Source organism: Homo sapiens, chromosome 15 (assembly GCF_000001405.40).
Source record: "Homo sapiens chromosome 15, GRCh38.p14 Primary Assembly".
NCBI classification, from domain to species: domain Eukaryota; kingdom Metazoa; phylum Chordata; class Mammalia; order Primates; family Hominidae; genus Homo; species Homo sapiens.
Window position 1 is genome coordinate 70,089,646 of NC_000015.10, and position 24,708 is coordinate 70,114,353.

Genomic DNA, 24,708 nt, shown 5'->3' on the forward strand with positions numbered 1-24,708 from the left:
GCTTCCTTCATACCTACAAAAATGAGACGAGGAATGAGTGCCAGATCACAGGGGAAAACACTGCCAAGCTTAGGTCTTTGTCACGTTTTTGCCCCTGGTGTCCCAGTATTTTGTACAAACAATGAGACAGAATGACATTCTCCCACGTAGAAAGCAAAAGGAGATTTATTCCTTGACTGACTCACTCCTTCAACAAAATGGAAACAAACAGCCTAGGTGGGAAGGAGGAGTTCAAGGAAAGGAAGAACTCCGTGTCTGCCACGGGCTCCTGGTCCAAGAGAGTTCAGAGAATGAGTCCCGAATTAGGAGCCAGGTTCCCACCCGTTGATCTGTAAAGTAAGGACAAGGGGCCATTTGCTCATCTCCCAGGGTCATTTCAATGACAAATGCACAAGAAGGAAAAGACCCCAAAAGCACTGAAACCCCCACTCTACCACTCCCACTGGCAACTAGAGAAAAGGGGTCCAAAGGCAGTCTTGAGGGGTGGGGCAACCTCCCTCTAGCTAGACAGCATGCAGGGAGCTTGGAGCCCAGCAGACCCCAAAGCTGAGCGAGGCAGGCACCCACTCAGTGAGAGGACTCGTGATTACAGTCTGTTCCAGGGAAGATCAATATAGCAGGAAAAGTCAAGACAGATACCAGGGCATGGGGCCGGGTGGGAGGGTTCTTGGATGCTAGCACTCTGGCAAAAAAGAAAAAAAAAATTTCACAGCTCAACTCAGATGCCACACAAATAGGCACTTCCCTAGTCTAAGGACCTTTGACCCCTTCTACTTTGCAAGTGGTCCCACATTCTCCTATCAAGATAGGCTCAACTCCTTGGCAGAGTCCTTTGTAACCTCATTGCCTGGTAGCTCCCTCTGGCCACCTGTACCTTGCACCTTCACCGTGGTCACAAAACTTCTGTGTGCCTCAAGATCTTCCAGGTGAGCCCCTTATCATTTAGATGAGAAGATCCAGAGCGGGGAGGGGAGGGGAGTGACAAATGGGGATTTTCCATTTCCTACCTCAGCCCTGTGTTTATGGCACCCCATGGCTAGGGTAAAAAGTTCACAGGTTATATATACCACCTTTCCCGGTCTGTGAATCTTTCCTCTGGGATTGCTAGTTATGCATTATGTATTATTATTACACACATCAAATCATTAGTTGTGCAAATAGCTGGCAATTCAAAACAGGACTGTGGACAATAAGGGTTCAGTGATATGATTATACAACCCGAAATGGGGCACTTTGGACTTTGGTGGGGCCAGTTTTGTAGCCTTAGCCTGTTTGGATAATAACACAGAAAGAAGCAATAGTAATTAAAGACACAGAATACACTAGAAAAGGAGCACTCTTCATTTCTTGAGTCTTACAGAAAAGAGTCCTGGGTTGGAAGGGAAGCAGCAGTAGCAGCTTTACCACTAACGTGGGACTGTATGACTGAGTACATAAGCTTCCCTTCTCTGGGCCACCGTTTCCTCATCTGTAACTTGAAAAGTTTGCATGAGAAGCCAAAGGGCTCTTCCAGTTCCAAGATTCAAAGAGAAACTTACAGGAAAGGTTGTTCAGTTCACAGAAAAAGGTGACTGTATTGTGTCGGCACGACACTGCCCCAAAATCAAAATGGCTCAAGTCCACTTTCAAAAATGTCAGTGCTCACCAACAGTGGGTGAAAAGGCTGCCTGACCCAGCTTCTCAGAGAGCCAGTGCCTCAAATCCAATGCATGGCAATTGCTCTGGGGCCCCTGGTTTTAAGCTGGCTTTGTTATTTGTGGCTGACACTGGAAAGCCTCTGCACAAACAAGATGGCAAGTGATGAGCCGGTCAGTCATCACTGCCTTCCCAGACTCTCTGAACCACCCTTGACATTCTGCCTGGAAGCAGGGGGCTTGGTGGAGGTGGGTGACCTCTTGAAGTCCCGGGCCAGGCCTGTGATTCTGTAATCTTTGCTTTACCATAATTAGGGAGGGAGGCAGAAGAGCAGGAGGAGAAACCATTTATTACTTCTCTGGGATTTTGACAGCTTGGAAAAAGAGAGAGACAGAGAAACAGCCAGAGAAGGAGCCAGCCACAGTGAGTTTAACCTCTCAGTAAAATAAAAATGGGCTGGACGCACCTCATCAGCTGCCCTCTGTCAATACCCGGGCCCATCTGGCAGGACTCGAGGTTCCCAGCTAATTGGCATTTCCCATAGAGCCAGCAAAGGAGAGCTTTTAAAAAAAATATGTGGTGGTGATGGTGGAGTGCGTGTGCGTGTATGCGCGCAGGCTGAGGACTGCCACACTTCCCAAGGTGCTAGCTCTATAGATCATCTATTATATAAAAGTACAGACAGTCCCCACCCCCACCCCAGCTTAAAGATGAAGAATCCAGCCTGTTTGTTCCAGGCAGATGTAATCACACGAACAGTCAAGTCTAGAGGGCAGGACACTGCATGAATAATTCAAGCACTCCAGTCACTTGATTGTGTGTGCCGATAAAACACCAGTCAACCGCTAAACAGGTCAGCTGATAAACTTGTTTGCTCAGGCCTAACCACCATTCGCCAAATGCACCCAAGACCCACACTACAATTAGTGGCAGGGCTTTCTTCTACAGAACCCTTGCAAACCTAGGGAGTGGCCAGCTCCATTAGATCAGGGTTGCATTTCACGGCACAGGTTTCTTCACCTCCTTGCCTCTTTGTTCCTCCACAGCCACAGGGTGATTTCACCCAACTCAGAGACTGCCATAAGCTTGCAAAGCCACTGCATTCAGAGCACACATGTTCAGGCTGGGAACTCAGGCTAGAGGGCAAAGGTGAGTGGCAAGCAAGGTAAAGTGCCCAGTGGGGAAGCCAGAGGGCTGGATTTGAATCCCAGCTCTGCCCTCCTGGCCTCCCTGAAGCCTCAGTTTCCTCACCTATAAACAGGGGGCAAAGAATGCCTCTATCCACCACTGGCAGCTGAGAGGATTAAATGAGACAACGTAGCCAAACCCCAGGCATTCTCCCCTTAAGAACCTTGTTTGGGGAATGGCCAGAAATCCCAGATGTACACAGCTGCTCTTTATATAAACCCCACCACCAAATGCGTTAAGATATTTAACTCTTCCTGCGTTCACAGCATCCCCAGGACTCACAGAACAGATCTGCTGCGAGCCAAGGTGGATTCTTAGTGCCAAAGCACCATTCATTCACAGACATGCGGAACACCACCCATGCAGACCTCAACATGCAACGAGACATTACACCTTAATTACCAAGCTCTTCCAATAACTGCTGCTATAAATTTTAAACCTGGGTGCAATTACCCTCTTTAAACACACCCAAGATACTATTTGAGAAAAAAAAAATTAAGACAGGGCAGACAAAGGGAGGAAGTGGCACCCTGCATACACCCCAAGGTCCTTGAAACACCTGGGCCCCCAGTTCCATTTCAAGCATTCTTCCGGGACCTGGCCCCTTCCAGTTGCAGAACCTGTCTCTATTCTATTTTTCCAAGGAGAAATATCTTTACGTATAAAGCCCTGTCTATTATTTCTGTGTGTCAAGAAGTAAAAACATGGTAGCCTTCATGTGCCTTCCTAAGGGACTAACTAATCCCTCAGGAAGCCACAAGCTGGCTTCCCACACATTGCTCAATAAACTCAGGCCCCTTTCTGGCTTCCCTTCACCCAACACTGGGGGCTCCCTCCAGGAGGGGAAAGGAAACTACAGATCCCAAAGGCTCTATAGGAAGCCACCCGAGTGGGTAGGAATCTGCCCACTTTCCAGGGTCACCTGCCCTTCTCACCTGCCCTGGGTCCTGCCTCCTTAAAGAGCAAAATTGAAACCTTGTAAACGACTGTTAATTTAGAGCAGAAAATCCATTCAAGTCACGGTCACCAAAGGCTAGAATGAGTCAACAGCCTTCTGAGATTTCATGAACACCAATTGTTAAAAAGAACAACCGGCCTGCCTGCTCCATTTATACGTGCCAAGTCAACTCTAAACGTTGGCCAAGCCAAATTATAGGCAGCCTTTCCTCAGAACACAAATACACAAACAGGCCTCTCCCACAGCCCAGCCTAGCACTGGGACTAGTTACTGATATGCACTGAGATAAAGGGTGTTTGTATTTGCTCGGTTTGAGGTATACTGTTATTAGAAGAGTGACAATACCAGGTAGTTTACATATCCATCAAACGACACCACACTAGCTAAACTGGTTTGACTTCAGGATTTCAAAGCTGAGCTCAACCCCCAGCCATCTCGAAAGTCCTGGCTAGGCTGCCCCTGGGCAAGTTACTTCACCCAGGAGCTTCAGCTTCCTTCTCTGTAAAATGGGAACTCGGCTGCCTTCAAATCAAGACAGGGATGAGAAAGCCACCTTGTCAATGCAAGGCACTGAAGTTGTATTTCATTCTGGCTTCATATTTTTAAGCAGTTAGTGGCTTCGTTCCCTTAAATTTCGACAGCTCAGCCTGGCTTTTAAGGTTCTTGAAGTTTAATCTTATCAAGGCAGAACATCACATTTCTGCAAAAAGAAAAAAAAAAGGAGAAAGAAAAAAAAAATCCTCCTGCATTTCCTCTTGAGAATTTTACATTAAAACAGATAAAAGCAGCCAGCCACCTCTGGGCTTTCAGGAGTTTGTAAAGCAGATCCTGGAGGTACAACTTTCCCTTTGGTCCTTTATCCTCCACCGAGATCCAAGACCAGGACTAATTTCACAAGCTCAAATGCTAAAAGCTCAACATGTCTAAAAAAAAATCAGCAAAGCCTCAGACCTTGCATTTCAAGGACTGGATCCATTCACTCTTCAAGGAGAAGGGGGAGGAATCGAAGAAGCAGGCTCACTTTCAAACAAGAGAGAACATAAGAAGTCCACATATATAAGTTTTTAAAAAATGAAATATATTTTTAAAAGAGAAAAGCACTTACCTGCTTGTGCATTTCAATGTTCAAGCCATAGGACATCTCATAGTACTAAAAGTAAAAAGAATGGCTATTAACAGACAACACAGAAATCTGGTCATTTTTCAAAATCAGTTTTTTCTTGGAAAGGTTTTGGCCAAATCATACTTTTACGATACATTTGCTAAAGAAGTTTAAATCAAACCCCAAAGCCAGCTTACAGAGCGGTTTAAGAGCTGACAAGGGCGAGCGTTCCTCTCATCTCAACAGAACGTTATATTATGTGGTAGTAAGGGGAGCTGGGCCTTCCCTCCCACAAGCACCACATGTGCCCTATATCCTGTTTATACAAGGTTCAGGTTCAACAGGGAATCGTGTGTACACTGGGACCCTCTTGTCCTCTGAGAGTTATTTAGCACTGTGTCGAAGGCCTCTTATGTGGAAAGCAGTGCAGGGAGCCGTGCCCTCTCACAAATGAAGATTAAAACTTGCTGGGCAAAAGGAAGACAGTCTGCCTACTGCCCCAGCGTGGAGAAGATACCCAGCTGGGGGATCCCTGAGGAGGGGAGTGGAGGCAGAGAGAGCTTTACAAGGCCTCTCCACTCCTCACAACACCCTGGGGAAGGAGGGCTTCTGTCCTACTCTGGCTAGATCCCAGCTGCAAAGCAGAAAAGTTTCCAAACACTCCCAGGAGGTCACTAAGAGAGATTTTTACCAACCCTAATTTCACATGGGCTGGTCCAATCCTATCTTACTAGCCAAGATAGGGCAATGGCAATCAGCCCCTGGGAAACTTTCAAAACACAAATTAAAGGCACATAAAGATAGTACAGAAGTCTCCGGCCTGGAATCGGGGTTTCTCTTTCTGCCCCTCCCCTCACTCACCCTCCTCCAAGTGGCCCCGGCAATGGAAGCTGGGGAAGGGGAGGGCAAGACCAGATTATGCCCTCTCTCAGGGCCGCCCTGCGGCTGGGCGGTGGTGGGGACCTGGCGCTCATCTCCCCAGATCCACGCCGCGCCCCCGGCCGGGGTCGGCGCCCCAACCGCCCCCCAGGCCCGCGGCCGCATCTCACCATCACATAATGGCGCTGCATCTCCGTCTTCTCGTTTGCCAGCTTGTCGTACTCCACTTTGAGGCTGCGAGGGCAGGAGGAGCCGGCTCAGGCGTGGCGCCTGGACAGCCTCCTCTGAGGCCCCGACCCAAGGGCCTCTAGAGCCACTTTTCCACTTTCCTGACACCCCCCCGGGGGCGCCCCCATTATCCCACAGCCTGGGGACGCGGGGGGATTTGGGTCCCCGCCGTGGGGAGGGGGATGTGAAACAATTCGAAACTTCCCGCGAGCCAAAGGACTTATCACGGCAGCAGGGGAGTAGGACCCTGACGCTGGCTCCCGACACCCAGAACCCGGAGTGAACCCGCTCGCCGCGACCTAGACCCTCATTCGGGGACCCCACGGGCGGCGCTGGGAGCCGGGCTGCTGCGGGCAGTAAAGGGTTAAGGCGGCGCGCTCGGAAAGGGGAAACAAAAGGCGGAGGCCCGGGCTGCCCCGCCGCCCCTAGGTCGGGAGCCCCCTCCGTCCCCGCGGGGGATGGCAGGAGCCGCGCAGGGGACCCACCCCTCCCCGCCAGCCCCGGGGCGGCCCCCACCGGCCTTACCTGTGATACTGAGCTTGCAGGAACTGGAATTCGTCTTTGATCCTGTCACAAGACTCAGCCACCGTGAATTTAAATCCCGGCTGCCCGGGTTGATGGGGAGCCTGGAGCCCGCGAAGACAAGACAGGGGAGGGGGCGGGGGCATGAGACCGCGCTCAGAGCGGCCCCGGCCCCTCCCCAACGGCGCCCAACCAAAAGAGGCCACCCTCAGCCCAGAACCTTCCCAGCAAGTTTCTCAGCTCTCCGACGGGGCGGAGGGGGGGCGCCCCATCTCTCCCCGTCGGCAGCGGGGCTCCCATGCCTTTCACCAAGGGCCTCCCTCTCCCCAGTAAGGCGGGGGCGGGAGACAAGCCGGGTGAGTTGGGAGACTTCAGAGCGGGGCCGGGGACCGCGTGAACAGCTCCCCCTGGAACACAAGCAGCCCCCCGCGCCACTCGCGCGGAATTAACCTCCTCTCTCAACGGCGCCCCCCGGCCGCATCCCCCTTTGTGTGAGAGCACACACACAAACACACACACCATAAAGGTAGCAACAAGCAAAATGGAGGTGCCAGATAAACTGCCTCGTTTACCCTGCCATGATAGATGCTTAAATAAACCGAGTTGCAATTACTCACCGGATGTCTGCCCTGCGGATACATGGCAGGGAGGGGTCGTGATTCCGAGAGCGTGGAAGCGCCGAGAGCCCGGGCCGGGGAGGTGCGGGGGAGGGGGGAGCCGAGCCCGAGCGGGGGGCGGCCGGGAAACCGAGAGCTCGCCCCCGGCCCCCCCAGCTCGTTCTCGCAGCGAAATCCCAGAGTCGGGCGCCCGCCCCAAGTGGAGACAAAGAGCCGCGGAGCAGGCGGCAAAGTCGTCGGCGGGCGCCGGGGCCGGGCGGCGGGCGCGGGCTTTGTGCGCCTAGGGCTCGGCGGGCAGCGGCCGGCCGCCTTCCCTGGGCTGCGTCGAGCGCGTCAATGCCTGGGACTGCGCGGACATCGTCGGCTCCCCAGCAGGTCCGGCGCGGGGTCCCGAGGCCGGGGGCCCCTCCTGGGGCGAGCTCGGGCCCCCTCCGGGTCACTCAGCGGGTCGCGCCTGTAGGGGGGCGCGCCGGGGCAGCCCCAAGCATCCGGGGCGCGCGGGTCCGATCCTAGAGGCGTCCGGGCCTGGGGCTCGCGGCGAGAAGAGGAAGGAGGCGGGCTACGAGGTGGTGGCTTGGGGCCGCAGGAGCGCCGGAGGGTGAGGGCGGGAGCCCGGCGCGGGCGCTTCGACGCCCCCCCTCGGAGAGGAGAGCCTGCTGTTCCGTCTGCTACTGCCGCTGCCGCCGCCGCCGCCGCCGCTGCAAGCCCTTCCCAGGGCCGGGGAGGAACTCCGGGCTCAGTAGGTGCAAATCAAACGCCCTGGCATCCTAAGTCCAGCGGGCACGGGAAGCCTCCGCAAAGGGTTCTCGCTGCTCCCAGCTTGAGCACCGCGTCCCCACCGAGGAGCGCTCAGCGCCACCGCCGCTGCCGCGTCGGAGCGCACAGGCAGGAGAGCGCTGGAGGGGAGACGCAGCCCGAGACCGGGGAGCTCTACGGCTTCCTTCCTTCCCCTCGGCCCGGCTCTCCTCTCCGCGCCCCGGCAAACCCCCAAAACACACACACCCAACACACACACACGCGCGCACGCACACACACACACACCAAAAAAAAAAGTGCCCCGGACCTACGGATACCACACACAGACAGGCGAAGGGGACGAGCACGAGGTCTGAACTGCCGCGAGAGCAGTTCCAAATAGGGACTGAAAAGTAACAAAATAATGTGGCAGCTTCGTCCGGCGCTGGCCAATGGGAGCGCGGGGCCCCCACGTGGGGCTGCGGGACTCGGCCTACGACTGGGTGCCGCTGGGCGCGACGTCACAATGCCCTCTTGTGTCTAAAACTATGCATGAAAAGTAGCAATCAGGCCCTACCCGCTGGTGACTTTCGCATGGGAGTGAAAAACAGCGCTCCTCAGATCAGGAATTAACCGAAAGACATATAATAAATAGATATATATTATAGTCCTGGGCTGCTCGAGTTTTTTTCCTCCTTTTTTTTCCCACGGTCTACTAGCAAATAATTATTTAGCGGGAGGAGGAAAGAGGGAAGACAGAGGAATAACAACAAAAGAAAATAAGACAAGCTGTACAATCTTCAAAACCTGTGGCTGGTAGTAATGTATCAGTTTATTCTGCAGCGGCGGCGAACGATTCCTCCCTCTAATCTCATTAGGTCTGCAAAGCAGCCCAATTAGATACTATAAAACAAACAATCACTTTGTCACTTTAATGTTTTCACTTCAAAAGATTTAGGACTGATAAAACGGTGGCTCCTAAAGTTGCCTCCGACCTTTAAAAATTTGCTCGGAACTCAGGATGTCCCCTTTTCTTCACCCCTTCTTCTGCCCGCCTCCCCCACATTAGCCCCCAGCTCTCCTTTGTTCACTCGCCCTTCTTTTCAGAAAGCCAAATAAACAGCTCCTTTGATGTGCGGCGGCTGCCTGCGAGGAGAAGTCTGAGGGACTCTGGCTAGGCGGGCAGCGCAGATGGAAGGGCCCGGCTGCCCGTGGACAACAGGCTCAGCCACGGCTGGCCCCATTCGGGGCGCCTTCCCCGTGGGCACAACTTCACCCTCGACGCAGCCTCGCCGCGCGGGCTCCTCACTGCATCCCCAGGCTGAGGGGGTTGGGGATGGGGTCGGGACCCTGCTCGGCCGAGGCCCGGGAACTCCGAGTTCCCACCTGGTTTGCTCAGCCTGCTCCCGGCAGTGCCACGGCGTTGGCGGAAGCCTGTAGGTGTCTCGGTCGCTAGCCTGGACACTCCGAGGGACGCGGACGCTCCCCCGCTCGCTCGCCCCGGCCCCGGGCCCCCCGGACCCCCCGCTTGGTCGCACAGGCCACTCGACTCCGGGGCCAGCTTGCCCGCAAACCGATGGCCTCGCCCTCCCGCGCTCGGGGTTACGGCGGGGCAGACGAGCAAGCAGGGAGTGGACCTCAAAGCGCGCACCGCCCGGTGGACGGCCAAGGCGGGACCCCCGGGGCCCTCCCCGGCAAGTCCGCGAGCCCGCGCGCGAGCCGGCCGCGCGTCCCCGGATCTATATTTTCCCCTCATTAGGAGCCGGAGGTTCGCTTTTGCATCTTAATGAGGAGCTGAGAGCTAGCGGGCGCTCGGAGGCCGGAGCGCGGGGAGTTACACGTGAGCACCCGCCTCAGAACTGAACCTCCCCGCGCCCGCTCCGGCCGCCAGCCCCGAACCGCGCTCCCCTCTTCATTTATTTATTCTCCTAAATAAAAACATAAATCGTGTTTCGGCGCGCACCGAAGACGGGGGAGGGAGAAGCCCGGCTCGACAGATGCGAGCATCTGGCCGCAGCATTCATTAGAAACAAAATGGCTCCTCTTTGGCGCTTCCTTTCCCCCTCCCCCTTCTCTGCCCTCCCCCTTACGTCACGGGTGGGCGCACCCGCTTCTTACTCGCCCCGCCCATTTCTCGCTCCAGCCCCACGTGGGGGACGCCGACCACGCCTCCGAGCAAGGTGCGAGTCACCAATCACGGACCGCCGAAGGGGCTCTTCGTTGCTGATTGGCGGAGCTGCTGGGCCCTGTCAGTCCGCGGCCAGAGCTGTCAGTCAAAACCACGCGGGGTGGGGGAGCGCTGACAAATGCCGAGGCTTCTGAGCCTCCCGCTTGCAAATAGTGCTTGGAATGGCTGCTTAATTAGCTTTGAATGGCTTTTCCTTCCAGCTCAAACAATCTGTCACTACCATGTGGTATAAAGGAGCCATGCATAAAAAAGTAAGCAGAGGCTAAATATCAATTTGATTTTGTGTATCAAAGGAATATTTTATTTTTCTCCCTAGTAATGAAACGTATCAATTTAAATAATAAAAGGTAAAAACACACACACAAACAAAAAAAAAAAAAAAAAAAAAGAAGAAGGAAAAGAAAAGAGGAAAAAAAAGAAAGAAAAAGAAAACCCAAACTCTACGGTGTGGCGACTCCTGCGCACGCCTGAAACAGGTCACTTCCACAGCCCACGTTCTGGAGGAAGCCTGAAGACTTTCCCCTCCCCCCTTTAAACTTGCATTTAGTGTTTTGTTGTCGTCGTCCTCCAGAAGTCTAGAAGGAGTGGTGGAGGAGGGGTGGCCTGTGAAAGGGGACGTGGGGGCGGGGGAGGGGGCGAACTTTAAAGGGAGCTCTTTGAAGCTGCTACTCAAAGTAGAGGGGGTTTTAAGACCCCGTAAACTGGGGGTCCTACAGCAGGTCTCGATTTGGGAGCTGAGAGGAGAGGGGGATGAGAGCGGGTGTGCGTCTCGCTCGGATTTATTAAACACAATGCCTTCAAGATGCCAGGGACGCGGCGCCTCGCCGGGCCTCCCTCTCAGTCTCCCTCTGGACTGGCTCCGACGGCGCCCGCCAGCAGGCGGCCGAGAAGCCGCGGGGCCCCCAGGTCGGGTCTTCCGAAGATTGTGTACAGAAAAGGACAGCAGCTCTGTCTCTCGCCCGGGTGTCCCTCCTGCCCCGACGTCCACGCCCCCCGGTGACCACACGAGCCAGAGCGCTCCAGCAGGGCAGACCCACGTCGAGTTCACCTGTGAGCCCCAGCGCCAGGGCCGAGCCCGGCACGCTGGAGGAGTTCGCGGCTGCGTGTCCCCGACGCGGTTTTGCAGAGCGCCGCCTCCTCCGCAGAGCCGGGCGGTAGAACCACGCTACGCAGTCAGGAAGAACAGCGCTTGAGCGCTCACTAGGTACAAGGCAGGGCACTGCTACCCAGGCAGCGCTCTCCTCTCCCTTACCTCACTCCCGAGGGAAGCAGTTTGGCTGGGGACCCCATTTTATAGAGCAAAAAAGAGAGGCTGAGAAAGCTCAATCATTTGCCCCAAGCTGGGCAGAGGGTCAGGATTCGAATCCAGGGCAGCCAGTTTAATGGCCAACCTCAGCGACCCCTTTGCTTACGCAAGCTGGATACGTGCAAGTTTTTGCTGAAGAAAAGGCATTCATTCATTCATTCATGCCCAGCCCTTTCTGAGAGCCTGGCTTTGGGAGAACAGGCCTCTCCTGCCTGTAGCTCCCACTCACTCCTCACCCAGCGTCACTCCCCGCTCTCACCGGCTGCCTGAACCCTGAGCAGGAAGGGGGCAGGGAGGTAAGGAACCAGGCCAACATCCCTTTAAGCTTACCACCGCTATCTCCCCGCACCCCCCCACCCCGCCCCAACATGCCACCCCACAAATTAGGAAAAACAAGGAGAAAAATACATGTCTTTTATGCTGGAGAAAGAGAAAAGAAAATAAAAAACATGTATACAACACCCCGTCCAAAGGCTTGACAATTATTTTAAAGAAGGAGGGGAGTCGAGAGAAAGAGTTCAAACGTCTCTGTCTCCAGTTCTAATTGGAAACGTTTCAACTGTTTATGTTACAAGAAGTGTCAGGGTCATTTGCTACCGGAGAGCTGACTTTTCATTGGCTGCTTAATTGAGTACCTCGGAGTCCACCCCACGTGGGAGAGGAATTCCTGGCACATTAAAAAAAAAAAAAAAAAAAAAAGTCACCCGGGTGAGACAGAAAGCCCGGCCTGGATTTACAGAGCAGCGGCTCCCCAGCCCCCAGCCCCTTATTTGGGGTGCAAGGTGGCTGGTGAGCAACTGTCTGCCAGTCCGAGGAGCCACTTCTCTGAGTCTTTTAAAATATTCTTCAAGCACTTTAGCTGAGTTAGTATATGCTTTACCCCCTTAGGAATTAAAGGGTATGGCTCAGGCCAGCCACCAGGCTGTGGTCACCTATTTGAGGAATGGATCACAGTGCCGTGGGTGGGGTTGCAAACCTCTCCCTGTCATCCCTTCCTCTACTGCCTCCACTGGCTTTGATTTGTGGAAGCCTCTTGTTGGAACTTCTCAGAGAGGACAGAAATCTCCCTCACCATGCCACACCCCCTCAGTTGATTCTATAGGGCTCCCCCAATTGCTTTGTCTTCATGACTAGAGTAATTCTGTCCCCCCTACCCCCACCCCTCCACTCACCGGGCATCCCAGACCTTCCTCCACAAGCAAGCACCTCGACATAGAGCAAAAGAAAGGGAAATTTTTATTTATTTAACAAACTCTTACATAGTGCTCAAGCTGTGTGCAGTGCTATTCTAAGCACTTGACAAATATGAACACATTTAATACTCACACAAGAAATGAAGTGGGTGCCATGAGTATCAGCCCCATTTTACAGATGGGGAAATTGATACACAGTGGTACAATGATGTGCCCAAGGTCACATCAGTGACTGATGGACACAGGCATTTGGGCATCAGTGTCCCAGGGACAGGACCCAGGCAATTGGGCACCAGTGTGCCTGCCCTTACCTACTACGCCCTGCTGTATCTACAAGCTTGGCTTTCCTGAGAATGCAGGCCAGGGCTGCAAGAGGGACCACAGGAATCTGGAGGGCCCCAGAGGGAGCTCCTATAAAGCTCATCCTGCAGCTACCTCATCTCAGGGAAGAGGACCAAGGCTAGTGGAAGGAGAGGACTTCCCAGGGTCTCCCAACTCGTCTTCCCATTCTCTGACTGGTTCAAGCTATGTGACCTTGGGGGACTTATTTAATCTTGCTAAGCCTCCATTTCCTCATCTGTAAAGTGGAGATAACAATCCAGTACCTGAGGAGGATTGTCCCGAGAATCGATGGAGATAATGCATGTAGTGTACTTAGTACAGAACCTGGCACATTAAGTGATCGATAACAGTTAGCTGTGGTGGCCATGATGATAATGTACAACTATCTGGGTGATTCAACTCCTCCAACATTTTCTGCGTGCCTGGAGAGGCTAGGAAGGTCTTCTATCCCAGCCCTGGGGGGAGCAAGCCAGGCAGCAGCCCCAACCTTATTCTGCATAGACACAGCCAAGCCCAGGTGGGAACACCCAGCTCCTCTCCTCTGGACTCTCAGGAAGGCCCTCCCGAGGTCACTGGGCCTTCCTCTCCCTCTCTGGGAATCCCATTCTTTATCATGGTCCTCAGATGACCTTGGGCATCCCTGAAGCCCAAGGACCCTTGGAGTGTGCAGGAGAGGGGAAGGAAGGAATGGGGAGGGGCAATTCAAAGCTAAAGCTGGGGTGAGGTGGGAGTGGATAGAGGCAGAGGGAAATCTGTCTGCCACCACAGTGCAATATTCATAGCATTTCTGAGAAGACAAGCCACAAAAAGTAAGCCTATAAAGTATGAAGTGGGGGAGAACAGTTGTGAGAAGGGTGGTTCTGGAAGGGCTTCCTGGAAGGCTGGAGCTTGAGCTCAGCTCAAAAGGATGGACAGAAGTTGTGGTGGGCAGAGGGGACAGGATGAACAAATACTTCTATCGAAACCCTTCCCTTCCCCCTCACCCCGCACCTGGGTGGTTTCTGCTTCCTTGGTCTTTTCTTAGTTTTGCCACCTGACAAGCTGTTTTTATTCCCTGGGGAACGGAGCTAAGAGCTTGCTTCTCTAAGACCCTGCCCCTATCCCGACTCCCATTTCAGGCTCCAGTGAGGATGCCTCTGAAGGTTACTACAGCCAGGAGAGAGGGATCCACTCATCCGGACTGTGTGGCAGCACCAACCTGGGCTTCAGGAGTCTGGAAGATCTGCAAGATCTTGGGCAAGACCCCGAAACTCCTGGGGTCTCCATTTTTACCTCTGTAAAATGAGAATAATGGCACCTAATTTCTTACCTGGCAAGAATCTGCAGAAAGCTTACCTCCAAAATCTAAGGAAAGCCCTTGCCTTCGAAAACATACACAAGGCCAGACTGTCCCCAGTTCCAGGTTGTATTCCAGGCTGTATCTAGGCCCTCAGAGTTAAATAGAGCCTGTGCAGGGAAATGGTATTGGGTAGAAGGGTGGGGGTGGGGAGGGACTGGGACAATTAGGGAAGCTGCCTATAGAGGGTGGCCCTTGCTGTGGCTCAGAGGGGAGGAAGGAAGAGAGCTCCAGATAGGAGCAAAGGTACCCAGCCAGGGCACTACAGAGAACACTCACTGGGGAATGGTTTGGTTTGCTCCATGGCCCAACTAGCAGAGGAAGCCACTGCCTCTCTCCAGAAAGCTTTGGAAGCCAGACTACCAGGCGATGATTTACAATGAGGCCCTCATGCCCACCTGAGACTTTGTGGGGGGGCAGGTGTGCAGGGTAGGCATGGAATGTGTTTGTTCACCTGTCTTTAGCAGAAGCATAAGCCTGGAAACATTCTCCCCTACACCCGCTCCAAAGTTGAGCTGAATTGCATCCCACTGTTCCCAAGGTGCACTTTGCTGACCTCTATTGACTAATGGCACAGGGTTTCCATGCCTCATGCCCGAACCGGGTAAATATTTATCGAAGTGATTGGGCATTCTAATTAAGAGATTTGTGCTGTTTCTTTCGTTCCTTTTTAAGGATTCAAAGCTGAGGCTTAGGAGATTAAGAAATATTTTGCTGGTATTAATGCATTCAACTTCACAAGGGTGGAGGCCCACGCTGTAAGAATTATCCACGCCAGTGGAGGGGAGTTCTGGGGTCAGTATGGATCATTTAGGTAGAATTCGTGCCCGGCATACCTGGTCTTTGATGGAGGTTCTGAGTTGGGATGGGGAATGGGGAGGGAACGAGAGATGAGAGGGTATTTGCCTGACAGATTTGATTTTCACTCTCAGATCTGTTATCAGCTTTGTATCTTTTTAATAAATGAATTTATAAACGTGAGTTTGTCACATACATCCAGCAATAGTGAGAGCCTGATTTTGTATCAAGCGTGTTCTCTTACACCAGTGGCTCTTAACTCAGGGTGATTTTGCTTCCAAGGGGAATTTGGGCAATATCTGGAGATATTTTTGGTTTTCACAACTCAGGGTAGCAGTGCCTTTGGGTACAGAACAGAGATGCCTCTAAACATCCTGCAATGCACAGAACACCCTCCTCAACTAAGAATTATCCAGCCCCAAATGCCAATAGTCCTGAAGTTGAGAGATCCTGACATATACTATCTCATGTAATCTTAATAAATAGTGTCATTGTCAGCTGGAAACCATCATTCTCAGCAAACTATCACAAGGACAAAAAACCAAACATCACGTGTTCTCACTCATAGGTGGGAATTGAACAATGAGAACACATGGACACAGGAAGGGGAACATCACACCCTGGGGCCTGTTGTGGGGTGGGGGGAGGGGGGAGGGATAGCATTAGGAGAAATACCTAATGTTAAATGACGAGTTAATAGGTGCAGCACACCAACATGGCACATGTATACATATGTAACAAACCTGCATGTTATGCACATGGACCCTAAAACTTAAAGTATAATAATAATAAAAAAAAGATAGTGCCATTCTCTATGTCCCTATTTTGCAGATGAGTAAACTGAGATACAGGAAGGAAAGTGTCACATGTTCAGGAAGGGAAGAAGCTGATTGGTGAGCCCAGGCCCCTCTGTCTCCAAAGCCTATCCTCTGTCCTCTACTCTCAGTGCCCTCTCTACTAGAAAGTAATTCAAATACCCCCAGCTCTAGGTTCCTGCCTTGTGCAGTATTTGAGCCATTTTAAAGATTGCTCTACAAGTTAGCAATTATCTAGTCATTCAGATAAAGTCTCTTTATGAAGAGCTAATGCTAGAGAAGTCCTGGGATCCTCTGGCAGCTCCTCCAAGTGGGGACTACAGCCCAGGGCCATTAGGTGCCTGCGTAACATTGGAAAATAGTCACAAAAGTTGCTGTTGGCACATCCCTGAAAGATGTCAGGGTGGAAGGCTAAATGCAGTTAGGTTGTATGGAGTTTGGCAGGGAGGAGTGGACTGGTGATGGGGTATTTTTTGCCTTTTTGGGGAGTGCCCTTCCTGAAGTTGAGGTTCTGCAAGAGGGAGATGGGGCAACCAGAGAGGGGTGGGTTGGAACAAGGTTGGGGGGCAAACACAAGAGACTGATGGGGACTCTGAAGGTCCAGGCTGCAGGTGGACCTGGGAGTTCTGGAAGTAGAGAGAAATGGGGGCAAGAAAAGGGGCAAAGGGGCTTCACTTGTAAGAAAGGCACATAGATGACTATAGATTTTGATGTTGGAGTGGAACTGAAAAAAAAAAAGACTCAATTTTGAGGGCCTGGAGGTCCAACTTATTATTTGACCACTAACCTACCACAAAAAATCTATAGTATGAAGCAAGGTACAAACAAAACCAACGCCATCTTACTTTTGTCTTGTGTTTTCTGCTTAAAGCATTGTCGTGTCTGTGGGTTTCTAGTTAAGACGCAACATGTAGAGCAGGGAAAATTATCTCCATGGCAGATGAAGAAGCTGAGGGCCAAGGAAGGTTAGGTAGTTTGTCCACCACCACACAAGTTGACGATGGCGAATTCTGACCAGACTTAGGCCTTCTGGCATTGGCATTGATTCTTTCTGTAAACCAGTCAAGCTTTCAAATTGTGCCCTAAGGAGGTCCTGGGATCCTCAGAAGTTGATGGGAGTGCTGAGAAGATGAGGAAGTAAAGAGAGTGGTCACAGGGATCGCTTCCTCCACCTCAATCAGAACAGCCTTAATTTTTATCTGTTTTATAGTTTAGGTGTCCTGGTGATGCCTCATTCCGAGGATCTTGTGTTTCCTCGTGCTTTGGGAGTCTTTTAGCTCTAATTTCACATCTCATTTGCTCCTGTGAAATGGCCTACTAGAAAAGGGAGACTCTTAGAGGCCCCATTCATACCCCCAGAGCTCGTTGGTAGGGAAAGTAGACTCAAATTCAGGCCTTGCTGTGTGGAAGGGCTGAACAGCTCAGAAGGGAAAGGCTACAGATTATTCTGGGGGCAGCCTCCCACCCTTTTACAGAGAAGGAAAGGAAGACCCAGAGAGATGGAATAACCTAGCCAAGTCATACCGCTCATGCGTGGTGGGCCTGGGATTCCGTGTAAGCCCTGTTGAGCTGCAGAGGTTGTGCCCATCACCATTGCATTACCCTACCCAATACTATCCTGCCTCACTAACCCGCCTTTCCTTCATGCCAGGTAGGTCCCAGTGAAATAATGCTCTGCTCTCTACTAAGTAGGGGCCTGGCACTTCCTAATACATCACCTAATTTATTACCTTGGCCTCCTGGCACTTGTCTTCCATTTGAACCTCCTCACTGGATATGTTCTACACTGCAGAGACTGACAGCTGAAAATTATGCTTCTAGACTCACTCACTGGAAGGGTTCTGAAGTAAACATGACTCTCCCATTAGATCCACCCAAGCAAGATGGGAGAGCAGCAGTAAGACAGAGACCATCTCTGGCTACCTGTTCTTTCTGGCTGGTGATGTGTTTGCGGAGATGGTGAGTTTTTCTGCACCTATGTTCCAGTATCCAGCCACTACCTTCAAAAACGTCAAGCGTTAAGTTGTGTGGGTGGAGGGTGCAACTCTCTCAGCTCTGAATTTTGATGACAGACCTTCCTGAAGTCAGAAGTTCTCGAGGCCACCATCTATTTCCCTATCTTTCTGACTATACTGGAAGAGGCAGCCCTCTGACCCTATAAAACCCCTAGAAGAAAACATAGGGGAAATCTTTGCGACATTGGAGTTGGCAATGATGTGTTGGCAGTAATGCCAAAATCACAGGCAACAAAAGCAAAAATAGACAAATGGGACTAGAACTTAAAAACTTCTTTGCATGAAAGGAATAGATTAAAAGAGGGGAAAAGGGGGCCGGGTGTGGTGGTTCACACCTGTATTCCCAGCACTTTGGGAGGCTGAGGTGGTAGGATTGCTTGAGCCCAGGAGTTCAAGACCAGCCTGGGCAACATGGAGAAACCCCATCTCTACAAAAATACACATACATACACACAGGCACACACACAAAGTAGCCGGGCATGGTCGTGCACACCTGTAGTTCCAGCTACTCAGGAGGCTAAGGTGAGAGAATCATCTGATCCCAGGAGGTTGAGGCTGCAGTGAGCCATGATCTCGCTGTTGAACTTCACCCTAGGCAACTGGAGTGAGACCCTATCTCAAAAAAAAAAAAAAAAAAAAAAAAAAAAAAAAGAGGGAAAAAGCAACCTACAGAATGGAATGGGAGAAATATTTGCAAATCACATATCTATAAGGAGTTAATATCTAGAATATATAAAGAACTCCTACAACTGAATAATAAAAAACCAAATAACTCAGTCAAAAAATGGGCAAAGGAAAGACATTTTTCCAAAGAAGATATACAAATGGCCAACAAACATATGAAAAGGTGCTCAACATTACTAATTATTAGGGGAATGCAAATCAAAACCACAATGCAATATCACCTCACCCCCATTGGGATGGCTGCTATTTAAAAAAAGAATTGTTGATAAGGGTGTGGAGAGATTCGACCCTTGGTGCATTGTTGGTGGGAATATAAAATGGTACAGCCTATATGGAAAACAGTATGCAGGTTCCTCAAAAAATTACAAATAGAATTACATATGACCCAGCAATCCCACTTCCGAGTATATATACAAAGGAATTGAAAATAGAATCTTAAAGAGATATTTGCATACCCATGTTCATGGTAGCATTGTTCACAATAGCCAAGAGGTGGAAGCATCCTAAATGTCCACTGACAGATAAGTGAATAAAGAAAATGTGATGTGATGTGGATGTGTGTGTGTGTGTGTGTGTATAGACACACAATGACATATTTTTCAGCTCTAAAAAGGAAGAAAATTCTGTCACATGCTACAACATGTATGAACCTTGAGAACATGATACTAAGTGAAATAAGAAAGCCACAAAAAGACAAATACTGTATAATTTCACTTATTTGAGGAATCTAAAGTAATCAAACTCATAGAAACAGAAATTAGAATGATGGTTGTCAGGGGCGGGTGGGAGAGAGGTATGGGGCGTTATTGTTCAATTAGCAGAGAGTTTAGGTTTTGCAAGATGAAAAGTCCAAAAATCTGTTGCACAACAACAGGAATATAGTTACTATTGAGTTCTATACTTAAAAATGATTAAGATGATAAATTTTATATTATGTGTTTTTTACTAGGATTTAAAAAAATAAATAAAAGGAGGCAGCGACTCTGGCAGGTGAGTTCTGTGGAATTCTAGTTCCTGCAGGCCAAGCCCCCAGGCCTCTCCTCTAGCTTAAGATACTAATTGCTTCTATTAAATGTCTGTTTCAATAGCTGGGGTGATTCTTGTTCCCAGCACCTGGCCTCTGACTGATACACTCCTGCTTCTTCCAGCAGACCTCCCTACTGTGCCAATCTCTGCCTGACTGAGGCTTTTTGGGGTCATTTATGTTTCCTTGATGTTTATCTGTTTTATTAGAGTAGTGATATTGAATGTAATGATGACACAAGGCCATTAAGCATATACATGAACAGGTGACTCCACGCAACCTAGGCACAGCCTGCTACTCAGAGCTTAAGTGCTACTTGCAGATATACAAGTTGGAATCCTGACACCCTAGCTTTTTTGCTTTAGGACCTTAGGCAAGACACTTGTTTTTGCTAAGCCTCAGTTTCCTCATCTGTAAAATTGGGATAATGCTAGAGCCTTGCTCACAGGGTTGTTGTGAGAATTAAGCAAGATAACGCAGCTGGCAGCAAGCCTTCAATGACTGTGAGTGATTCTGAATGAATGAGGACACATCAACCGCTTGGTCTCAATGTGTTCAGACTCCTCAGCCTCTTTATCTAAATCCAAGCTTGGACGCTTTTCTACCTAGAGCCAGATTCTCTGCTCCCAGAATTTAAATATGTCTCACATTAATGGGAGACACAGAAAGATGGGAAGCTGGGGAGCCAGAGGCCTCAATGTTAGAAGTCAATGTTCATCAAAGGGTTCCTGGAGTCCTCGAAAAAGGAGAATGCAGAGGTGGGTGGGTTTTCAGTAGACCTGAATGTGTGTGTAGGGGGTGAGAGGTAGGGAGACACTCCTCCAAAGCCAGCAAGGGCCAAACATGCAGGCAGCCCCAGCCCACCTGCCTGCAGCCTCCCTCTCTATGGAGGCCAAACCCAGAGAGAATGGGAGCCAGAACCAGGCTGCCCTCCACAGTTGGCACACAGGGTTCCTCTTTTAGCCAATGATGAGAAGCTCCTCTCCAGCCTAATTAACTGCAGACTTGTAACTTCTAACTCAGACAAGAATGAGGCCAGACACAGACTGAACAAGAACAAAGCCCCCACGACTGTGTCTATAGGGCTGGGCTTCAGAATGGATCTTCAGAAGATCTCTGTAATACTATTGGTTGGGGTCCGCAGAATTGAGGTATAGAGAGGATCCACACGTGGGGTCATCAACCCATGGGGGACATGGACCCCTTCCCAGATGGTACTCTAACATACATGATTTTGGAAAGGGCTCCCAAAAGGGGCTGAGGGAGATCAGAAGAGCAGATAACTTGGCCCTGGATGGCTCATGGGTTGAGAGCCAGGCTAAGTGACCTGGCCTTTATTCAGGGGATACTAAAATGACTGACTTGTAGGTGTCAGCCTTGAGCTAAGCCATTTACACAATTGTCTCATCAAACTGTGTAACAACAGGGTCATGATTGCTGCACGCAGAACCCCCTCAGCACTGAAGCCCCATGCCCCAGCTGCAGAGAGTATTGGGAAAGGAAAACACTGAGCTGAGACCACTTCAGCAGAAGACAGCCAGCTGCCTCCCCAGGAAAGCCAGCCTCAAATGATGCTAGGATGTGAGGGTCCCGGGAGGCCTCGTGCCCCAGCCCTTTTGAGGCAGCTCTGAAGGGCCAACCGAGATCCAGAGCTCCCCGTGGGGTCGCGGGGACATTGTTGTGACTTCATCAAGCCCTATCTACTTTTCCCTATGCCCCATCCTGCCTCCAGGTGAGGCGCTGGCAATGAAACACTCCCCAGTGAGTCCCCTGCATGGGAATATTCTCCACTTTATGGTCGCCAGATTTAGCAAATAAAAATACAGGACACCCAGTTACATTTGAATTTCCTTTAAACAATGAATTTTTTTTTAGTATAACTATGTCCCAAATATTGCATGGGACATACTTATACTAAAAAAAAAAAATCACTCGTTGTTTATCTGAAATTCAAATTGTACTGGGTGTCCTATATTTTCATCGGCAACTCTGCTCCATCTCAGTCTGTGCTTTGGAGAACCTGACCTATAACAAACCCCACCAAATGGGCACTATCATTGCCCTCATTTTAGAAACAGAACACTGAGCCTCAAATTCTGGTCCTATGAGTGACCCTGGTTATTAAGGGAGGAGTGGAACAACAGCAGTGGATTTGGGAGCTGGATCAGCTGGATTGGGGTGGGGTGCAGAAACTCCTCAACTATTTTCACAGCCCCACCATGAACTGGGCCTACAGCTCTGGAGGAAAGGACTCCAGTACGGGTTTTCCAGCCAGCCTTCCCTGGGCAGGGCTGAACTACCCCCTGGAAGAACATTTTAATCAGCCGCCTTGTCTCTGCCTCTCTTGGCCTTTGCTTTCATTGTCAGAGTCTCTGTCAATAGCTGGAAATCCAGGCAGCAGCACAAGCAGACATTTCGCTCCTTCCCAAGCAGAAATCTCACAAAGGGCAGGGCTCCCCTCTTTACAAGGAAAACAAACAGGTCTTCAGGCTCCCAGGGGCTGGGGGTGGGCTGGGGCAGAGGGAGGCTTGGGGGGAGGGGGAGGGGGCAGCCAGCTGGCTCAGCCTGGCTCAGGCTCCCACCCTCACTAGCTTTCCACTTCCATCTGCCTTTCCCCCACGCAGATCCAGACTGCGGGGGGAACCTGGGCGGGCTCCCCTCTCCTCTGGAGAGTGCAGCTGGCTGAAGCCTCAGTATTGCTCAGCCAGCCCTAGCAATTCCACTCCATCCCTCCCTAGGAACCAGGGTGACCTCTAAGCAAATTGGGTTCTGCCATTCCCCTGCTCAGAATCATTCCATCGCTCCCTGCGGACATATACTGTGCACTTTCACACCTCAGACCTTTGCCCATGCTGCTCCCTCTACCTGGAATATCGTTTCTTCTCTATTTGAACCCATCCATTCTTCAAGATCCTTTTTTCTTCTGTGAAACCTTTGCTGTCTGTACCCCCTTAGTCAGAATGAGTCACCTCCCTCTCTAGGCTAGCATGGTATCTTTACTTGTGTCTGACGCCCCCATCCCAGGCTGTCCTGCTCCACGTTTAGCTGGGCACATGTGGTCTCTCCCCCAGGCTGTGAGCATTCATCTGACCTTCGTGCAGCATTTTCCAGTTTGTGAAGTGGTTTCACATCTCTGCTCCCTTACAGCTCTCTTGGATAGACACCATTGTCCCCATTTATTTATTTATTTATTTATTATTATTTTTTATTATTATACTTTAAGTTTTAGGGTACATGTGCACAATGTGCAGGTTAGTTACATATGTATACATGTGACATGCTGGTGCGCTGCACCCACTAACTCGTCATCTAGCATTAGGTATATCTCCCAATGCTCTCCCTCCCCCTCCCTCCCCACCCCACAACAGTCCCCAGAGTGTGATGTTCCCCTTCCTGTGTCCATGTGTTCTCATTGTTCAATTCCCACCTATGAGTGAGAATATGCGGTGTTTGGTTTTTTGTTCTTGCGATAGTTTACTGAGAATGATGATTTCCAATTTCATCCATGTCCCTACAAAGGACATGAACTCATCATTTTTTATGGCTGCATAGTATTCCATGGTGTATATGTGCCATTTTCTTAATCCAGTCTATCATTGTTGGACATTTGGGTTGGTTCCAAGTCTTTGCAACTGTGAATAGTGCCGCAATAAACATACGTGTGCATGTGTCTTTATAGCAGCATGATTTATAGTCCTTTGGGTATATACCCAGTAATGGGATGGCTGGGTCAAATGGTATTTCTAGTTCTAGATCCCTGAGGAATCGCCACACTGACTCCCACAATGGTTGAACTAGTTTACAGTCCCACCAACAGTGTAAAAGTGTTCCTATTTCTCCACATCCTCTCCAGCACCTGTTGTTTCCTGACTTTTTAATGATTGCCATTCTAACTGGTGTGAGATGATATCTCATTGTGGTTTTGATTTGCATTTATCTGATGGCCACCATTGTCCCCATTTTAAGGATGATGCAATAGAGACCCGAATGGTTTCCTGATGTACTCATCATCAGGTAGCTAATAACTGCAGAACAGGACTCGATTGCGTAGATCTTCGAGTCAAAGGCCAGTGCTGTTTCCAGGAGAGGCTGGCATTCTGACCTTACATGCAAACACCACCTAGCTCAATGGCTAGACACACATTATTTCAATCGTGCTGAGAGGAACCCCTTCCCCTGCTCTCCCCACCAACCCTCCTGAGGCCCCAGCTCCTGGCTGGGTATGAGGATGCTGGGGCACGAGTTCGACTTCCGGCCCTGTCTGCTTCCTCTTTAACTGGAATGCTGGGGCCGGGTGACTGGGAGGTCAGCTTCTGGGGAGTGCAATAGGAAGCTACCATCATTGTGCCATTGACAGTAAGGCCAAGAGGAACTGGGATTGGGGCCCATGCACTCCGGAGAAGGGGAGTTGTACCAGGTGCTTTCCGTCTCTGGGTGGCCCCAGCATCAGCAGCCTACCTGGCAAAGAAGCAGGTCTGGAATCTCCCATTTCCCATGGGCCATGCGCAGGGCTGCCCAAGTACAGGGCTTAGGTAAGGGCTTCCCCCCTAGACCTTTAAAGTGGACACCAGTCTCATCAGGGAATCATGACGGCTCTACTGTCCAACCAGATCCCCAGTCCCACCTCTTGTCACCCACTCTGCTGCTACCAGCAGGTCCCAGCCACAGTATTGCCTCTGCTGGCAGACTCTTGCAGCCCCTAACATGCCTCTGTGTTTTCACCCTTCCACCCCTCCGTGTAGTCTGCGCTCAACTGAGGAGTCAGGATGATCATGTCAGTCCTCTGCTCCAAACCCTGCCCTGTCTTCCCATTTCTAGCCAAGAAAAGCCCAAGTCCTTCAGTGGCCTGGTGGGCCACAAACAGATCATGGAGAGGACCTGTCCCCATTGTCCTCTGCCCCTCTGCCTCGCTCACTCCACTCACCCCCTCCTCTGTGCCAGATCCAGCCCCGCCTCTGGCCTTCACACTGGTTGATCCTTCTGCCTGCAAGGTTTTCTTGGCTAACTTTCTCTCCCTCTTCTTTCACATCTTGCTAAGAACCTCACCTTTTGAACATGGCCTACCATACTGGAGTCAGTCCCATTCCACCTCCACCACTGCTCACCCTACTCCCTGCTCTACTTTTTGTTTCTTTGTTAGCAC

At 50.9% G+C, this 24,708-nt stretch overlaps 1 protein-coding gene across 24 annotated transcripts in view, besides 13 other annotated features; it reads right to left on the reverse strand.

Annotated features, from left to right (window-relative positions):
- The window catches only part of TLE3 (TLE family member 3, transcriptional corepressor), a 50,128-nt gene extending 41,856 nt beyond the window's left edge, over positions 1 to 8,272 (reverse strand). For 22 of the 24 annotated variants that reach the window (XM_047432993.1, XM_047432992.1, XM_011521983.4 and 19 more), the window contains exons 1-4: positions 7,130 to 8,272; positions 6,516 to 6,616; positions 5,933 to 5,996; positions 4,887 to 4,931 (exon numbers count right to left, since the gene is read on the reverse strand). In XM_047432993.1, the coding sequence (XP_047288949.1) occupies positions 4,887 to 4,931; positions 5,933 to 5,996; positions 6,516 to 6,616; positions 7,130 to 7,153 (234 nt within the window). In that variant the 5' untranslated portion in view covers positions 7,154 to 8,272. Of the gene's footprint in view, positions 1 to 4,886; positions 4,932 to 5,080; positions 5,145 to 5,932; positions 5,997 to 6,515; positions 6,617 to 7,031; positions 7,108 to 7,129 lie in introns of those variants that run through there. The other 2 variants (NM_001282981.2, NM_001282982.2) reach the window with 2 other exon arrangements.
- Positions 6,261 to 6,690: a silencer, noted in NCBI's record as "silent region_6602". NCBI's record gives its function as "represses an Ori minimal core promoter by ATAC-STARR-seq in GM12878 lymphoblastoid cells {active_cell/tissue: GM12878}" and the evidence as "EXISTENCE:reporter gene assay evidence [ECO:0000049][PMID:35858748]".
- Positions 7,411 to 7,530: a silencer, noted in NCBI's record as "silent region_6603". NCBI's record gives its function as "represses an Ori minimal core promoter by ATAC-STARR-seq in GM12878 lymphoblastoid cells {active_cell/tissue: GM12878}" and the evidence as "EXISTENCE:reporter gene assay evidence [ECO:0000049][PMID:35858748]".
- Positions 7,541 to 7,710: a silencer, noted in NCBI's record as "silent region_6604". NCBI's record gives its function as "represses an Ori minimal core promoter by ATAC-STARR-seq in GM12878 lymphoblastoid cells {active_cell/tissue: GM12878}" and the evidence as "EXISTENCE:reporter gene assay evidence [ECO:0000049][PMID:35858748]".
- Positions 8,530 to 9,504: an enhancer, noted in NCBI's record as "NANOG-H3K27ac hESC enhancer chr15:70390514-70391488 (GRCh37/hg19 assembly coordinates)". NCBI's record gives its function as "activates a minimal SCP1, AML or CMV promoter by ChIP-STARR-seq in naive H9 embryonic stem cells {active_cell/tissue: H9 hESC(naive)}" and the evidence as "EXISTENCE:reporter gene assay evidence [ECO:0000049][PMID:30033119]".
- Positions 8,530 to 9,599: a biological region, named in NCBI's record as "NANOG-H3K27ac hESC enhancer GRCh37_chr15:70390514-70391488".
- Positions 9,300 to 9,379: a silencer, noted in NCBI's record as "silent region_6605". NCBI's record gives its function as "represses an Ori minimal core promoter by ATAC-STARR-seq in GM12878 lymphoblastoid cells {active_cell/tissue: GM12878}" and the evidence as "EXISTENCE:reporter gene assay evidence [ECO:0000049][PMID:35858748]".
- Positions 9,450 to 9,599: a silencer, noted in NCBI's record as "silent region_6606". NCBI's record gives its function as "represses an Ori minimal core promoter by ATAC-STARR-seq in GM12878 lymphoblastoid cells {active_cell/tissue: GM12878}" and the evidence as "EXISTENCE:reporter gene assay evidence [ECO:0000049][PMID:35858748]".
- Positions 9,592 to 10,629: an enhancer, noted in NCBI's record as "VISTA enhancer hs359". NCBI's record gives its function as "enhancer in: heart[4/9]" and the evidence as "EXISTENCE:transgenic organism evidence [ECO:0001131][PMID:17130149]".
- Positions 10,858 to 10,957: a silencer, noted in NCBI's record as "silent region_6607". NCBI's record gives its function as "represses an Ori minimal core promoter by ATAC-STARR-seq in GM12878 lymphoblastoid cells {active_cell/tissue: GM12878}" and the evidence as "EXISTENCE:reporter gene assay evidence [ECO:0000049][PMID:35858748]".
- Positions 20,667 to 21,178: an enhancer, noted in NCBI's record as "H3K4me1 hESC enhancer chr15:70402651-70403162 (GRCh37/hg19 assembly coordinates)". NCBI's record gives its function as "activates a minimal SCP1, AML or CMV promoter by ChIP-STARR-seq in primed H9 embryonic stem cells {active_cell/tissue: H9 hESC(primed)}" and the evidence as "EXISTENCE:reporter gene assay evidence [ECO:0000049][PMID:30033119]".
- Positions 21,691 to 22,202: an enhancer, noted in NCBI's record as "NANOG-H3K4me1 hESC enhancer chr15:70403675-70404186 (GRCh37/hg19 assembly coordinates)". NCBI's record gives its function as "activates a minimal SCP1, AML or CMV promoter by ChIP-STARR-seq in primed H9 embryonic stem cells {active_cell/tissue: H9 hESC(primed)}" and the evidence as "EXISTENCE:reporter gene assay evidence [ECO:0000049][PMID:30033119]".
- Positions 22,203 to 22,712: an enhancer, noted in NCBI's record as "H3K4me1 hESC enhancer chr15:70404187-70404696 (GRCh37/hg19 assembly coordinates)". NCBI's record gives its function as "activates a minimal SCP1, AML or CMV promoter by ChIP-STARR-seq in primed H9 embryonic stem cells {active_cell/tissue: H9 hESC(primed)}" and the evidence as "EXISTENCE:reporter gene assay evidence [ECO:0000049][PMID:30033119]".
- Positions 23,665 to 23,959: an enhancer, noted in NCBI's record as "tiled region #6929; HepG2 Activating non-DNase unmatched - State 21:Repr, and K562 Activating non-DNase unmatched - State 22:ReprW". NCBI's record gives its function as "activates a minimal TATA promoter and a strong SV40 promoter by Sharpr-MPRA in HepG2 and K562 cells {active_cell/tissue: HepG2 | K562}" and the evidence as "EXISTENCE:reporter gene assay evidence [ECO:0000049][PMID:27701403]".